The 16,795-nt window shown below is 40.2% G+C and overlaps 1 protein-coding gene across 3 annotated transcripts in view, besides 3 other annotated features; it reads right to left on the reverse strand.

Annotated features, from left to right (window-relative positions):
* The window catches only part of LGSN (lengsin, lens protein with glutamine synthetase domain), a 297,657-nt gene that overhangs the window by 74,286 nt on the left and 206,576 nt on the right, over positions 1 to 16,795 (reverse strand). The window lies entirely within an intron of this gene.
* Positions 2,367 to 2,476: an enhancer, noted in NCBI's record as "active region_24712". NCBI's record gives its function as "activates an Ori minimal core promoter by ATAC-STARR-seq in GM12878 lymphoblastoid cells {active_cell/tissue: GM12878}" and the evidence as "EXISTENCE:reporter gene assay evidence [ECO:0000049][PMID:35858748]".
* Positions 2,547 to 2,816: an enhancer, noted in NCBI's record as "active region_24713". NCBI's record gives its function as "activates an Ori minimal core promoter by ATAC-STARR-seq in GM12878 lymphoblastoid cells {active_cell/tissue: GM12878}" and the evidence as "EXISTENCE:reporter gene assay evidence [ECO:0000049][PMID:35858748]".
* Positions 2,917 to 3,006: an enhancer, noted in NCBI's record as "active region_24714". NCBI's record gives its function as "activates an Ori minimal core promoter by ATAC-STARR-seq in GM12878 lymphoblastoid cells {active_cell/tissue: GM12878}" and the evidence as "EXISTENCE:reporter gene assay evidence [ECO:0000049][PMID:35858748]".

Consider the following 16,795-nt stretch of genomic DNA (forward strand, 5'->3'; position numbering starts at 1 on the left):
ATTATTACCTTGATTTCTTTCATTCTTTCTTTGGTTATAATATGAAAGCAATTACTATATTAATTATTTCACAGGGTTGTTAGTAGGACCAAATTTATTAAAATATACAAAGGACTTCACAAACTGGAAAATATTTTACAGATTTGTAATTATAATTATTACTGGATCTAGTCATAGTTATTTGTCTGCAAACCATAAATTATCTCAGTGCATTCAAATTAACCTGGTTGTGAAGATTTAAAATTTTTTACTTTATTTCCAGTTTTAATAAACAGCATACTGAAAATAGTGCCACAGGCACATCATAAAACTAACTACAAAGTAAACAGTTCAGGCCAGGGGTGGTGGCTCACGCCTATAATCCCAGCACTTTGGGAGGCCAAGGTGGGTGGATCACCTGAGGTCAGAAGTTCCAGACCAGCCTGGCCAACATGGTGAAACGCTCTCTCTACTAAAAATACAAAAATTAGCTGGACATGGCAGCGCACACCTGTAATCTCAGCTATTCAGGAGGCTGAGGCAAGAGAATCACTTGAACCTGTGGGGCAGAGGTTACGGTGAGCTGAGATGGTGCCACTTCACTCCAGCCTGGGCCACAGAGCCATCTAAAAAAAAAAAAACAAACAAACAAAAACGAGTTCAGACGACCAATTGGTAAGTAAAACAATTGGTTTTTTATCCTAATAAAAAAGAATTTGCCATTCAATCACTAACATCCAAAACTATTTACAGTGCTATATTCTGAATATTTGTGTCTCTTCCACCCAAATTCATATGTGGAAATGTTAACCCCCAAGGTTAACATAAGAGGTGGGTCCTTTGAGAGGCGATTAGGTTATCAGAATGGAACCCTCACAAATGGGATTAGTGTCTTTATAAAAGAGACCCCAGAAAGATCCCTTCCCATTTCTACCATGTGAGGTTACTGTGAGAAAACCCTGTCTGTGAGGAAGCAGACCCTCACCAGACACCAAAGCTACCAGTGTCTTGTTCTGGGACTTCTCAAACTTCAGAACTGTGAGAAATACATTTCTGATATTTATCTGCCACCCAGTTTATGGTGCTTTCTAATAGCAGCCTGAAAAGATTAAGACAAAAGGAAGGAAAAAAAGCAGATATTTGCTTTATAAATATCTCTGTGTGTGTGTGTGTATGTGTGTCTGTGTGTGTCTGTGTGTGTGAGAGAGAGAGAGAGAGGAAGAGAGAGAGAGAGAGAGACAGAGAAAGAGAGACAGAAACAGAGACAGAGTCTCACTCTGCCACCTAGGCTGGAGTGTAGTGGTGCGATTTCAGCTCACTGCAACCTCTGCCTCCCAGGTTCAAGTGATTCTTGTGCCTCAGCTTCAAGCAGCTGGGATTACAGGTGCCCGCCACCATGCCAGGCTAATTTTTTGTATTTTTAGTAGAGACGGGGTCTTCCTATGTTGGCCACTCTGGTCTCGAATTCCTAGCCTCAAGTGAACCACCCACCTCGGCCTCCCAAAGGGCTAAGATTACAGATATGAGCCTCCACACTCAGCCTAAATATCTTAAATATGAATGTCAAAATAAAACTAACAGCAATCTAATGATCTTGACCACTTTGATTTACATGGAGACTAATAATTTTTTAAATGATGTTTCAATGACATATACTGTATAGTCTTTTTAAACCTGAGACTGATTTACTGTTTCAATATATCAGAGAACATTTAAAGAAAATTGTGTCATTGCCTCAGGATTTTCCAATGTATAAAGAAAGAATTTCTTGTAATGACCTCGTAGATATGGTACTTAAGAGTAAGTAACAAATAGACAAATAATTTTAAAACAAGAAATGGTTGAGACAGAAATGACCTTCCTGGAAAATAAATGCAATTAGAAAAAAGACTATTGTTACATGAAATGAATTATATGAAGGATGTTTCTAGGCAAACAGTAGGTGGCAACATCTACACAGACTTGTTTTAGAAATGCTTGTATAACATCAAAACAAAACTTACAAGCTAATGATTCATGAAATAGGGAATTTTCCAAAACTCACATGTTAGTAGAGATATTTATGCGCAAATCCATTGTTTTGTATTCTTTCTATTTTGGAATGTCATGCTTATGCCTTATCACAAGGACTCCACTAAGATCAATAATCTTAAAAATGTTTTGTTTGGCCAGGTGTAGTGACTAACGCCTAGAATCCCAGCACTTTGGGAGGCTGAGGCAGGATTGCTTGAACCAAGAATTTCGGGACCAGCTCTGGCAATATAGAGAGTCTCCATCTCTACAAAAAATACGAAAATTCACCAGGTGTGGTGGTACATGCCTGTGGTCCCAGCTACTTAAGAGGCTGAGGCGGGAAGATTGCTTGAACCTGGGACATCAAGGCTTCACTGAGCCATGATCACACCACCGCACTCCAGTCTGTCTCTCTCTCTCTCTCTTCCTCTCTCTCTCTCTCACACACACACAGACACACACACACACACACACACAGACACACAGTTTTATTTGTGGGTTATGTTAGAGACTGTTCATCTGTCTCTCAAACAAAGGGATAGAATTTTGTTCCCCTCACATTTCTTGGCCAGATTAGGTGGTTGAATTAGATAAGAGTAAGGATTAAGGGAACCATGCAAACAGCTGGATTTTTTTTTAATGCCACAATATGACCTCAATTACTGGAGTTCACAGAAGTTGCAGAAGACACATCCGGTGGTCAAGAAAAGGGGAAGCTGCCTTAAGTTTCCTTTTCTCTTGTGAGCGCAACAACCTCCATCTGTCTTTCTCTGTAACGCTGAAGACAGACACGTGACCCTGGTTCTCACAGAAGAACTTTCAAATCTAAAAAGCCATTTTAGGAAATAATTGGAAAAGTCTCTGTAGCCTTTGAGCTCCAGGATATTTGTTTTCCAGAATGATGAGATTGGTTATTGAATGTTTTAATGGTTGGAAACCAGAGAGTAGCTTTAGAGGCAAGCAGAGGCGCTGCTTTTTAACAGCAGAGGTCAGTAACACCAAAGGGGAAGGAAATTGAGCAGTCTGGCCAGAAATTGCAGATTTCTGTTGCAGACCCAACAGGCAAGAGGCAATAGGCAACATCCTGAGACACACAGGAAAACCTGATCCTTAGTACCTAACAGGGTCTCCTGTGCAGAAAATGTTCCCATCCCTGGCAACAGTGCCTTCCTGGATATGCTCACAGATGTTTAAGACTCTCCCTACCAGAGAAATAGCTTCTATCACAGAGTATTTTGTAGGGAACCATAACAGAACGTAAGGTGAAGTTTTCTACTATACTCTTATAATTATTGAAATTTTTCCTACTTCATTAATACCTGGACTTAGATTTCTCTTTTAGAAAGAAGCAGTTTGTAGCAAAAAAAAAAAAAAAAAAAGAAAAAATAATGTTTTTCACAGAAATTGAAAAAACAATCTCAAAATTTGCATGAAACCAAAAAAGAGCCTGAGTAGCCAAAGCAGTCCTCAGCAAAAAGAACAAAGCTGCAGACATCACACCACCTGACTTCAAAATATATTACAAGGTTATAGTAACCAAAGCATCATTACAGTGATACAAAAACTGACACATAGACCAATGAAACAGAATAGAGAACCTGGAAATAAGTCTACATATAAGGCAACTGATTTTTTTTATAAAGTTGCCAAGAATATACATTGGGAAAAGGGACACCGTCTTCAATAAATGGTGCTAAGAATACTGGATATTTATACACAGAAGAATGAAACTAGACCCCTATCTCTCACTACATATAAAAATCAACTCAAAACGGATTAGACTTAAACATGAGACCTCAAACTATAAAACTACTAGGGAAAAAACCTAGAGAAAACACTTTAGGGCATTGGTCTAGGCAAAGACTTTATGGCTAAGACCTCAAAAGTACAGGTAACAAAAATAAAAATAGACAATGGTACCATATTAAACTAAAAAGCTTCTGCACAACAAAGAAAACCATCAATATCATGAAAACACAGCCTGCTGAATGGGAGAAAATATTTGCAAACTGCTTGTCTGACAAGGGACTGATATCCAAAATACATAAGGAACTCAAACAGCAAAAAAAATAAATAAATAATCCCTTTAAAAAGTGGGCAAGAGGTCTGAATAACATTTCTTGGACGAAGACACACAAATGGCCAGCAAATACATGAAAAAATGTTCAACGTCACTAATCATCAGGGAAATGTAAATTAAAACCAAAATGAGATACCATCTTACCCCAGTTAGAATAGTTATTATTAAAAAGACAAAAATATAACAGATGCTGGTGAGGATGCAAAGAAAAGGTAACTCTTGTACACTGTTGATGGGAATGTAAATTAGTACAGCCACTATGGAAGCAGTATGGCGATTTCTCAAAAAAACTAAAAATAGAAATACCATATGATCTATCACTACTGGGCAATTATCCAAAGGAAAGGAATCAGTATGTTGAAGAGACATCTGCGCTCACATATTTATTCCAGCACTATTCACAACAGCAAAGACAGAGAATCAACCTGTGTTCATCAACAGATGATTAAAGAAAATATGATACATATACACAATGGAATACTATTTAGCCATAAAAAAGAATGAGATAATACCATTTGCAGCAACATTGATGGAAGTGGAGATCATTATGTTAAGTGAAATAATCCAGACCCAGAAAAACAAATATTGCATGTTCTCACTCATATATGGGAGAAAAAAAAAAAGTTGATCTCTTGGATGTACAGAGTAAAATGACAATTACTAACGACTAGGAAGGGTATGGGTGTGGGTGTGGGTGTAGGGGAGGAAAAAGAAAGAATAGTTTCTAAAGTTCCATAGCAAAGAAGGGTGACTACAGTAAACAACAATGTATTGTATAGTTCAAAATAGCTACACAGAGGACTTGAAATGTTCCCAACACATAAAAATGATAAATGGAAAAGGTGATGTGTATCCTAAATACCCTGACTTGATGGTTACACATTCTATGCATATAACAAAATATCACATGTACCCTACAAATACATACAAATATTATGTATCAATTTAAAAAAAAATGAAAAATAAAATATCCCTACATTCTCTTGGCAAATATGTATTGAGTGCTGGGCACTGTTCTAAGTACTTGGGGCACAAAAGTGAAGAAAATGTACTTTGTCTCTTTCCTCATGGTAATTAGTCTAGTAGAGGCAGGCAGAAATTGAACAACAAAAAGAGTACATCCTATGCCAGGTGGTGTATTCATTTCTTTGGGCTGCCATAACCAAGTACTGTAAACTGGGTAACTTAAAACAACAGAAATTTATTGTGTCATTAATTCTTATGGCTGGAAGTTCAATCAAAGTGTCCACAGAGCCATGCTGTCTCTGAAACCTGGAGGAAAATCTTTCCTGGCCTTTCTCTCGCTTCTAGTCGTTTGCTGGCAATCTTTGGCATTCCTTGGCTTGTAGATGCATCACTCCAGTACTCTGTCTTTTTGTTTTGTTTTGAGACGGAGTTTCACTCTTGATGCACAGGCTGTTGTGCAATGGTGCAATCTTGGCTCACCACAACCTCTGCCTCCCAGGTACAAGCAATTCTCCTGTCTCAGCCTTCCAAGTAGCTTGGATTACAACATGTGCCACCATGCCTGGCTAATATTTTTTGTATTTAGTGGAGACGGGGTTTCACCATGTTACTCATGCTGGTTGTGAACTCCTGACCTCAGGTGACCCACCCACCTTGACCTTCCAATGTGCTGGTATTACAGGCGTGAGCCACTGGACCTCGCCAGTACTCTGTCTTCACATGGTGTTATTCCTGTATCTGTTCACATATTCTTCCTTCTACGCACATCTATATATATATGTCCAAATTTCCCCTTTTTATAAGGACACCGGTTATATTGCACTAGGGCCCACCCTAATAATCTCATCTTGACTACATCTGCAAACACTGTATTTAAAAATAAGATCACATTCTGAGATCCTGAAGGTTAGGACTTCAAGTTATCGTTTTGGGGAAAAACAATTCAACTCATAGTCCACATTTAAAAAAATAATAATAAAGCAGGCCAGGCACAGTGGCTCATGCCTATAATCCCAGCACTTTGGGAGGCTAAGGCAGGAAGATCACGTGAAGTCAGGAGTTCGAGACCAGCCTGAACAACATGATGAAACCCCATCTCTACTAAAAAAATACAAAAATTAGCTGGGTGTGGTGGCTCGTGCCTGTGATCCCAGCTACTCGGGAGGCTGAGGTGGGAGAATCGCTTGAACCTGAGAGGCAGAGGTTGCAGTGAGCTGATATCATGCCACTGCACTCCACCCTGGGCGACAAGAGCAAAACTCTGTCTCAAAAAGTTAAAAAATAAGAAAAATAAAAATAAAGCAGAGTAAAAGAAATAAAAGTAACAGTCAAGAGATGAGGCATGTTTAGGTAAGGTAGTCAAAGATGTGACATTTGGATAGAGAAGGTAAGATGTGAACAGACACTGAGGAATTGTGCCATGCATATACCTAGGAGAAGAGATATCTTCTCCTGAAAATATAGGATGTTAAGTGCCAAAACTGCAACATGACCAATTGTCTTCCAATCTTTAAAGCATCTTTATGGTTACAAAGAAATGTAAGTTAAAATCACAACCCCCAATTTTTTTTTATACTTTAAGTTTTAGGGTACATGTACACAACGTGCAGGTTTGTTACATATATATACATGTGCCATGTTGGTATGCTGCACCCATTAACTCGTCATTTAACATTAGTTATATCTCCTAATGCCATCCCTCCCCCCTCCCCCCACCCCACAACAGGCCCCGGTGTGTGATGTTCCCCTTCCCGTGTCCATGTGTTCTCATTGTTCAATTCCCACCTATGAGTGAGAACATGCGGTGTTTGGTTTTTTGTCCTTGCGATAGTTTGCTGAGAATGCTGGTTTCCAGCTTCATCCATATCCCTGCAAAGGACATGAACTCATCATTTTTTTATGGCTGCATAGTATTCCATGGTGTATATGTGCCACATTTTCTTAATCCACTCTATCATTGTTGGACATTTGGGCTGGTTCCAAGACTTTGCTATTGTGAATACTGCCTCAGTGAACATATGTGTGCATGTGTCTTTATAGCAGCATGATTTATAATCCTTTGGGTGTATACCCAGTAATGGGATGGCTGGGTCAAATGGTATTTCTAGTTCTAGATCCCTGAAGAATTGCCACACTGACTTCCACAATGTTCGAAGTAGTTTACAGTCCCACCAACAGTGTAAAGTGTTCCTATTTCTCCACATCCTCTCCAGCACCTGTTGTTTCCTGACTTTTTAATGATCGCCATTCTAACTAGTGTGAGATGGTATCTCATTGTGGTTTTTATTTGCATTTCTCTGATGGCCACTGATGATGAACATTTTTTCATGTGTCTTTTGGCTGCATAAATGTCTTCTTTTGAGAAGTGTCTATTCATATCCTTTGCCCACTTGTTGATGGGGTTGTTTGTTTTTTTCTTGTAAATTTGTTTGAGTTCATTGTAGATTCTGGATATTAGCCCTTTGTCAGATAAGTAGGTTGCGAAAATTTTCTCCCATACTGTAGGTTGCCTGTTCACTCTGATGGTAGTTTCTTTTGCTGTGCAGAAGCTCTTTAGTTTAATTAGATCCCATTTGTTAATTTTGGCTTTTGTTGCCATTGCTTTTGGTGTTTTAGACATGAAGTCCTTGCCCATGCCTATGTCCTGAATGGTAATGCCTAGGTTTTCTTCTAGGGTTTTTATGGTTTTAGGTCTAACATTTAAGTCTTTAATCCATCTTGAATTAATTTTTGTATAAGGTGTAAGGAAGGGATCCAGTTTCAGCTTTCTACATATGGCTAGCCAGTTCTCCCAGCACCATTTATTAAATAGGGAATCCTTTCCCCATTGCTTGTTTTTGTCAGGTTCGTCAAAGATCAGATAGTTGTAGATATGTGGCATTATTTCTGAGGGCTCTGTTCTGTTCCATTGGTCCATATCTATGTTTTGCTACCAGTACCATGCTGTTTTGGTTACTGTAGCCTTGTAGTATAGTTTGAAGTCAGGTAGCATGATGCCTCCAGCTTTGTTCTTTTGGCTTAGGATTGTCTTGGCAATGTGGGCTCTTTTTTGGTTCCATATGAACTTTAAAGTAGTTTTTCCAATTCTGTGAAGAAAGTCATTGGTAGCTTGATGGGGATGGCATTGAATCTATAAATTACCTTGGGCAGTATGGCCATTTTCACAATATTGATTCTTCCTACCCATGAGCATGGAATGTTCTTCCATTTGTTTGTATCCTCTTTTATGTCATTGAGCAGTGGTTTGTAGTTCTCCTTGAAGAGGTCCTTCACATCCCTTGTAAGTTGGATTCCTAGGTATTTTATTCTCTTTGAAGCAATTGTGAATGGGAGTTCACTCATGATTTGGCTTTCTGTTTGTCTGTTATTGGTGTATAAGAATGCTTGTGATTTTTGTACATTGATTTTGTATGCTGAGACTTTGCTGAAGTTGCTTATCAGCTTAAGGAGATTTTGGGCTGAGACAATGGGGTTTTCTAAATATACAATTATGTCACCTGCAAACAGGGACAATTTGACTTCCTCTTTTCCTTATTGAATACCCTTTATTTTTTTCTCCTGCCTGAGTGCCCTGTCCAGAACTTCCAACACTATGTTGAATAGGAGTAGTGAGAGAGGACATTCCCGTCTTGTGCCAGTTTTCAAAGGGAATGCTTCCAGTTTTTGTCCATTCAGTATGATATTGGCTGTGGGTTTGTCATAAATAGCTGTTATTATTTTGAGATATGTCCCATCAAAACCTAATTTATTGTGAGTTTTTAGCATGAAGCGCTGTTGAATTTTGTCAAAGGCCTTTTCTGCATCTATTGAGATAATCATGTGGTTTTTGTCGTTGGTTCTGTTTATATGCTGGATTACATTTATTGATTTGCATATGTTGAACCAGCCTTGCATCCCAGGGATGAAGCCCACTTGATCATGGTGGATAAGCTTTTTGATGTGCTGCTGGATTCGGTTTGCTAGTATTTTATTGAGAATTTTTGCACCGATGTTCATCAGGAATATTGGTCTAAAATTCTCTTTTTTTGTTGTGTCTCTGCCCAGCTTTGGTATCAGGAAGATGCTGGCCTCATAAAATGAGTTAGAGAGGATTCTGTCTTTTTCTATTGATTGGAAAAGTTTCAGAAGGAATGGTACCAGGTCCTCCTTGTACCTCTGGTAGAATGCATCTGTGAATCCATCTGGTCCTGGACTTTTTTTGGTTGGTAAGCTATTAATTATTGCCTCAATTTCAGAGCCTGTTATCGGTCTATTCAGAGATTCAACTTCTTCCTGGTTTAGTCTTGGGAGAGTGTATGTGTTGAGGAATTTATCCCTTTCTTCCAGATTTTCTAGTTTATTTGCATAGAGGTGTTTATAGTATTCTCTGATGGTAGTTTGTATTTCTGTGGGATCGATGGTGATATCCCCTCTATCATTTTTTATTGCATCTATTTGATTCTTCTCTCTTTTCTTCTTTATTAGTCTTGCTGGTGGTCTATCAATTTTGTTGATCTTTTCAAAAACCCAGTTCCTGGATTCATTGATTTTTTGAAGGGCTTTTTGTGTCTCTATTTCCTTCAGTTCTGCTCTGATCTGGCCTGGTGGTGACAAAATCTCTCAGCATTTGCTCGTCTGTAAAGTATTTTATTTCTCCTTCACTTATGAAGCTTACTTTAGCTGGATATGAAATTCTGGGTTGAAAATTATTTTCTTTAAGAATGTTGAATATTGGCCCCCACTCTCTTCTGGATTGTAGAGTTTCTGCCAAGAGATCAGCTGTTAGTCTGACGGGCTTCCCTTTGTGAGTAACCCGACCTTTCTCTCTGGGTGCTCTTAACATTTTTTCCTTCATTTCAACTTTGGTGAATCTGACGATTATGTGTCTTGGAGTTGCTCTTCTTGAGGAGTATCTTTGTGGCATTCTCTGCATTTCCTGAATTTGAATGTTGGCCTGCCTTGCTAGATTGGGACAGTTCTCCTGGATAATAACCTGCAGTGTTTTTCAACTTGGTTCCATTCTCCCTGTCACTTTCAGGTACACCAATCAGACGTAGATTTGGACTTTTCATGTAGTCTCATATTTCTTGGAGGCTTTGTTTGTTTCTTTTTATTCTTTTTTCTCTAAACTTCTCTTCTCGCTTCATTTCATTCATTTGATCTTCCATCCTGATACCCTTTCTTCCAGTTGATCGAATCGGCTACTGAGGCTTGTGCATTCATCACATAGTTCTCGTGTCATGGTTTTCAGCTCCATCAGGTCTTTTAAGGACTTCTCTGCATTGGTTATTCTAGTTAGCCATTCATCTAATCTTAAGGTTTTTAACTTCTTTGCCATGGGTTCGAACTTCCTCCTTTAGCTCAGAGTAGTTTGATAGTCTGAAGCCTTCTTCTCTCAACTCATCAAAGTCATTCTCCGTCCAGCTTTGTTCTATTGCTGGTGAGGAGCCGTGTTCCTTTGGAGGAGGAGAGGCACTCTGATTTTTAGAATTTTCAGTTTTTCTGCTCTGTTTTTTTCCCCATCTTTGTGGTTTTATCTACCTTTGGTCTTCGATGATGGTGATGTACAGATGGGGTTTTGGTGTGGATGTCCTTTCTGTTTGTTAATTTTCCTTCTAACAGTCAGCACCCTCAGCTGCAGATCTGTTGGAGTTTGCCAGAGGTCCACTCCAGACCCTGTTTGCCTGGGTATCAGCAGCGGAGGCTGCAGAACAGCGGATATTGGTGAACAGCAAATGTTGCTGCCTGATCGTTCCTCTGGAAGTTTTGTCTCAGAGGAGTACCCAGCCATGTGAGGTGTCAGTCCTCCCCTACTGGGGGGTGCCTCCCAGTTAGGCTACTCGAGGGTCAGGGACCCACTTGAGAAGGCAGTCTGTCCATTCTCAGATCTCAAGCTGCATGCTGGGAGAACCACTACTCTCTTCAAAGCTGTCAGACAGGGACAAATAAGTCTGCAGAGGTTTCTGCTGCCTTTTGTTTGGTTATGCCCTGCCCCCTGAGGTGGAGTCTACAGATGCAGGCAGTCCTCCTTGAGCTGCAGTGGGCTCCACCCAGTTTGAGCTTCCTGGCTGCTTTGTTTACCTACTCAAGCCTCGGCAATGGTGGGCACCCCTCCCTCAGCCTCACTGCCACCTTGCAGTTTGATCTCAGACTGCTGTGTTGGTGATGAGCAAGGCTCCGTGGGTGTAGGACCCTCCGAGTCATGCGCAGGATATAATCTCCTGGTGTGCCATTTGCTAAGACCATCGGAAAAGCGCAGTATTAGGGTGGAAGTGACCCGATTTTCCAGGTGCCGTCTGTCACACCTTTCCTTGGCTAGGAAAGGGAATTCCCTGACCCCTTGAGCTTCCTGGGTGAGGCAATGCCTCACCCTGCTTCAGCTCAGGCTCGGTGCACTGCACCCACTGTCCTGCACCAACTTTCCGACAATCCCCAGTGAGATGCAACCGGTACCTCAGTTGGAAATGCAGAAATCATTCAACTCCTTCGTCGCTCAGGCTGGGAGCTGTGGGCTGGAGCTGTTCCTATTCGACCATCTTGGCTCCACCCCTACAACCCTAGATTTTTAACTTTGAACAACTGGATGATTTTCAGTGAACTTCTTGTTAGCAAGAATGAAGGGGAGGTTGATTACCTGTCAACTTCAATGATCATTATTTAAACAATAAATATTCATTTTGCAGGTATTGTATGTCAGGCACACTTGTAGCTCCTGAAACATAGCAATGGACACAAAACGTAAAACTATTTGTGTTGACAGAGTTTTCATTTCAAGAGGGAGCAACTTGATCTTGTCCCACTGGAAGTTCTTCAGAGGCAGTAACATGCACGGGGCTGTCATCACTTATGATAACAATACCTTCTTCTGGAACATTCCCTGAAGGACCTGCCTGAGGTTGTTTTACAGTTAACTTTTTAAATATATATAAGTAGAAGGAGTATACTCTAAAATCACAATTAAAAGTTAATACAGAAACCAGTAAGAGGAGATGCCAAGATCGCCAACTAGGAACATCTTCAGTCTGCAGCTCCCAGTGTGAGCAACACAGAAGACGGGTGATTTCTGCATTTCCAACTGAGGTACCAGGTTCATCTCACTGGGGCTTGTCAGACAGTGGGTGCAGCCCACAGAGCAGGGCGGGGCATCGCCTCACTCCAGAAGTGCAAGGGGTCGGGGAATTCCCTTTCGTAGCCAAGGGAAGCCATGACAGATGGTACCTGGAAAATTGGCACACTCCCACCCTAATAACTGTGCTTTTCCAATGGTCTTAGCAAACGGCACACCAGGAGATTATATCCCCCGCCTGGCTCAGAGGGTCTCACACCCACAGAGCCTCACTCACTGCTAGCACAGCAGTCTGAGATCAAACTGCAAGGCAGCAGTGAGGCTGGGGGAGGGGTATCCACCATTGCTGAGGCTTGAGTAGGTAAACAAAGCAGCCGGGAAGGTCGAACTGGGTGGAGCCCACCGCAGTTCAAGGAGGCCTGCCTGCCTCTGTAGACTCCACCTCTGGGGGCAGGGCATAGCTGAACAAAAGGCAGCAGAAAATTCTGCAAACTTAAACATCCCTGTCTGACAGGTCTGAAGAGAGTAGTGGTTCTCCCAGCACAGAGTTTGAGATCTGAAAACGGACAGACTGCCTCCTCAAGTGGGTCCCTGACCCGAGTAGCCTAACTGGGAGACACCTCCCAGTAGGGGCCGACTGACACCTCATAAAGCCAGGTGCCCCTCTGAGACGAAGCTTCCAGAGGAAGGATCAGGCAGCAATATTTGCCGTTCTGCAATATTTGCTCTTCTGCAGCCTCTGATAGTGATACCCAGGCAAACAGGGTCTGGAGTGGACCTCCAGCAAACTCCAACAGACCTGCAGCTGAGTGTTCTCACTGTTAGAAGGAAAACTAACAAACATAAAGGACATCTACACCAAAACCCCATCTGTATGTCACCATCATCAAAGACCAAAGTTAGATAAAACCACAAAGATGGAGAGAAACCAGAGCAGAAATGCTGAAAATTCTGAAAATCAGAGTGCCTCTTCTCCTCCAAAGGAACACAACTCCTCACCAGCAACAGAACAAAGCTGGACAGAGAATGACTTTGACGAGTTGAGAGAAGGATTCAGACGATCGATAATAACAAACTTCTCCAAGCTAAAGGAGGATGTTCCAACCCATCGCAAAGAAGATAAAAACCTTGAAAAAAGATTAGATGAATGGCCAACTAGAATAAACGGTGTAGAGAAGTCCTTAAATGACCTGATGGAGCTGAAAACCATGGCATGAGAACTATGTGATACATGCACAAGCTTCAGTAGCTGATTTGATCAAGTGGAAGAAAGGGTATCAGTGATTGAAGATCAAATGAATGAAATGAAGCAAGAAGAGAATTTTAGAGAAAAAAGAATATAAAGAAACAAACAAAGCCTCCAAGAAATATGGGACTATGTGAAAAGACCAAATTTACATCGGATTGGTGTACCTGAAAGTGATGGGGAGAATGGAACCAAGTTGGAAAACACTCTTCAGGGTATTATCCAGGAAAACTTCCCCAACCTAGCAAAGCAGGCCAAATTCAAATTCAGGAAATACAGAGAATGCCACAAAGATACTCCTCCAGAAGAGCAACTCCAAGACACAATTGTCAGATTCAACAAACTTGAAATGAAGGAAAAAATGAAAATCAAATGAAAGGGAAAAACTGGTACCAGCCACTGCAAAAACATGCCAATTGTAAAGACCATCGATGCTAGGAAGAAACTGCATCAACTAATGAGCAAAATAACCAGCTAACATCATAATGACAGGATCAAATTCACACATAACAATATTAACCTTAAATGTAAATGGGCTAAATGCTCTAATTAAAAGACACAGATTGGTAAATTGGATAAAGAGTCAAGACCCATCAGTGTGCTGTATTCAGGAGACCCATCTCACATGCAGAGACACACATACGCTCAAAATAAAGGGATGGAGGAAGATCTACCAAGCAAACGGAAAACAAACAAACAAAAAAAAAACGGGTTGCAATCCCAGTCTCTGATAAAACAGACTGTAAACCAACAAAGATCAAAAGAGACAAAGGAGGCCATTACATAATGGTAAAGGAATCAATTCAACAAGAAGAGCTAACTATCCTAAATATATATGCGCCCAATACAGGAGCAACCAGATTCATAAAGCAGGTCCTTAGAGACCTACAAAGAGACTTAGACTCCCACACAATAATAATGGGAGACTTTAACACCCCACTGTCAACATTAGAGAGATCAACAAGACAGAAAGTTAACAAGGATATCCAGGAATTGAACTCAGCTCTGCACCAAGCAAACCTAATAGACATCTACATAACTCTCCACGCCAAATCAACAGAATATACATTCTTCTCAGAACCAGCTCACACTTATTCCAAAATTGGCCGCATAGTTGGAAGTAAAGCACTCCTCAGCAAATGTAAAAGAACAGAAATTACAAAAAACTGTCTCTCAGACCACAGTGCAATCAAACTAGAACTCAGGATTAAAAAACTCATTCAAAACTGCTCAACTACATGGAAACTGAACAACCTCCTCCTGAATGACTACTGGGTACATAACAAAATGAAGGCAGAAATAAAGATGTTCTTTGAACCAATGAGAACAAAGACACAACATATCAGAATATCTGGGACACATTCAAAGCAGTGTGTAGAGGGAAATTTATAGCACTAAATGCCCACAAGAGAAAGCAGGAAAGATCTAAAACTGACACCCTAACATCACAATTAAAAGAACTAGAGAAGCAAGAGCAAACACATTCAAAAGCTAGCAGAAGACAAGAAATAACTAAGATCAGAGCAGAACTGAAGAAGATAGAGATGTAAAAAACCCTTCAAAAAATCAATGAATCCAGGAGCTGGTTTTTTTGAAAAAATCAACAAAATTGACAGACCACTAGCAAGACTAATAAAGAAGAAAAGAGAGAAGAATCAAATAGACACAATAAAATGTGAGAAAGGGGATATCACCATCGATCCCACAGAAATACATACTACCATCAGAGAATACTATAAACACCTCCACGCAAATAAACTAGAAAATCTAGAAGAAATGGATAAATTCCTGGATACACACACCCTACCAAGACTAATCCAGGAAGAAGTTGAATCCCTAAATAGACCAATAACAGGTTCTGAAATTGAGGCAGTAATTAATAGCCTACCAACCAAAAAAAGTCCAGGACCAGATGGATTCACAGACGAATTCTACCAGAGGTACAAAGAGGAGTTGGTACCATTCCTTCTGAAACTATTCCAATCAATAGAAAAAGATGGAATCCTCCCTAATTCATTTTATGAGGCCAGCATCATCCTGATACCAAAGTCTGGCAGAGACACAACAAAAAAAGAGAATTTTAGACCAATATTCCTGATGAACATCAATGCAAAAATCCTCAATAAAATACTAGCAAACTGAATCCAGCAGCACATCAAAAAGCTTATCCACCACAATTAAGTTGGCTTCATCCCTGGGATGCAAGGCTGGTTCAACATATGCAAATCAATAAATGTAATTCATCATATAAACAGAACCAAAGGAAAAAAAATACATGATTATCTCAATAGCTGCAGAAAAGTCTTTTGACAAAATTCAACAGAGCTTCATGCTAAAAACTCTCAATAAACTAAGTATTGATGGGATGTATCTCAAAATAATAAGAGCTATTTATGACAAACCCACAGCCAATATCATACTGAATGGACAAAAACTGGAAGCATTCCCTTTGAAAACTGGCACAAGACAGGGATGCCCTCTCTCACCACTCCTATTCAACATAGTGTTGGAAGTTCTGGACAGGGCACTCAGGCAGGAGAAAGAAAGAAAGGGTATTCAATAAGGAAAAGAGGAAGTCAAATTGTCCCTGTTTGCAGGTGACATGATTGTATATTTAGAAAACCCCATCGTCTCAGCCTAAAATCTCCTTAAGCTGATAAGCAACTTCAGCAAAGTCTCAGCATACAAAATCAATGTGCCAAAATCACAAGCATTCTTATACACCAATAACAGACAAACAGAGAGCCAAATCAAGAGTGAACTCCCACTCACAATTGCTTCAAAGAGAATAAAATACCTAGGAATTCAACTTACAAGGGATGTGAAGGACCTCTTCAAGGAGAACTACAAACCACTGCTCAACGAAATAAAAGAGGACAGAAACAAATGGAAGAACATTCCGTGCTCATGGATAGGAAGAATCTGTATCATGAAAATGGCCATACTGCCCAAGATAATTTATAGTTTCAATGCCATCCCCATCAAGCTACCAATGACTTTCTTCACAGAATTTGAAAAAACTACTTTAAAGTTCATATGGAACCAAAAAAGAGCCCGCATTGCCAAGACAATCCTAAACCAAAAGAACAAAGCTGGAGGCATCATGCTACCTGACTTCAAACTATACTACAAGGCTACAGTAACCAAAACAGCATGGTACTGGTAGCAAAACATAGATATAGACCAATGGAACAGAATAGAGCCCTTGGAAATAATACCACACATCTAAAACCATCTGATCTTTGACAAACCTGACGAAAACAAGCAATGGGGAAAGGATTCCCTATTTAATAAATGGTGCTGGGAGAACTGGCTAGCCATATGTAGAAAGCTGAAACTGGATCCCTTCCTTACACCTTATACAAAAATTAATTCAAGATGGATTAAAGACTTAAATGTTAGACCTAAAACCATAAAAACCCTAGAAGAAAACCTAGGCATTACCATTCAGGACATAGGCATGGGC

This window comes from Homo sapiens, chromosome 6 (assembly GCF_000001405.40).
Source record: "Homo sapiens chromosome 6, GRCh38.p14 Primary Assembly".
Classification (NCBI taxonomy): Eukaryota; Metazoa; Chordata; class Mammalia; order Primates; family Hominidae; genus Homo; species Homo sapiens.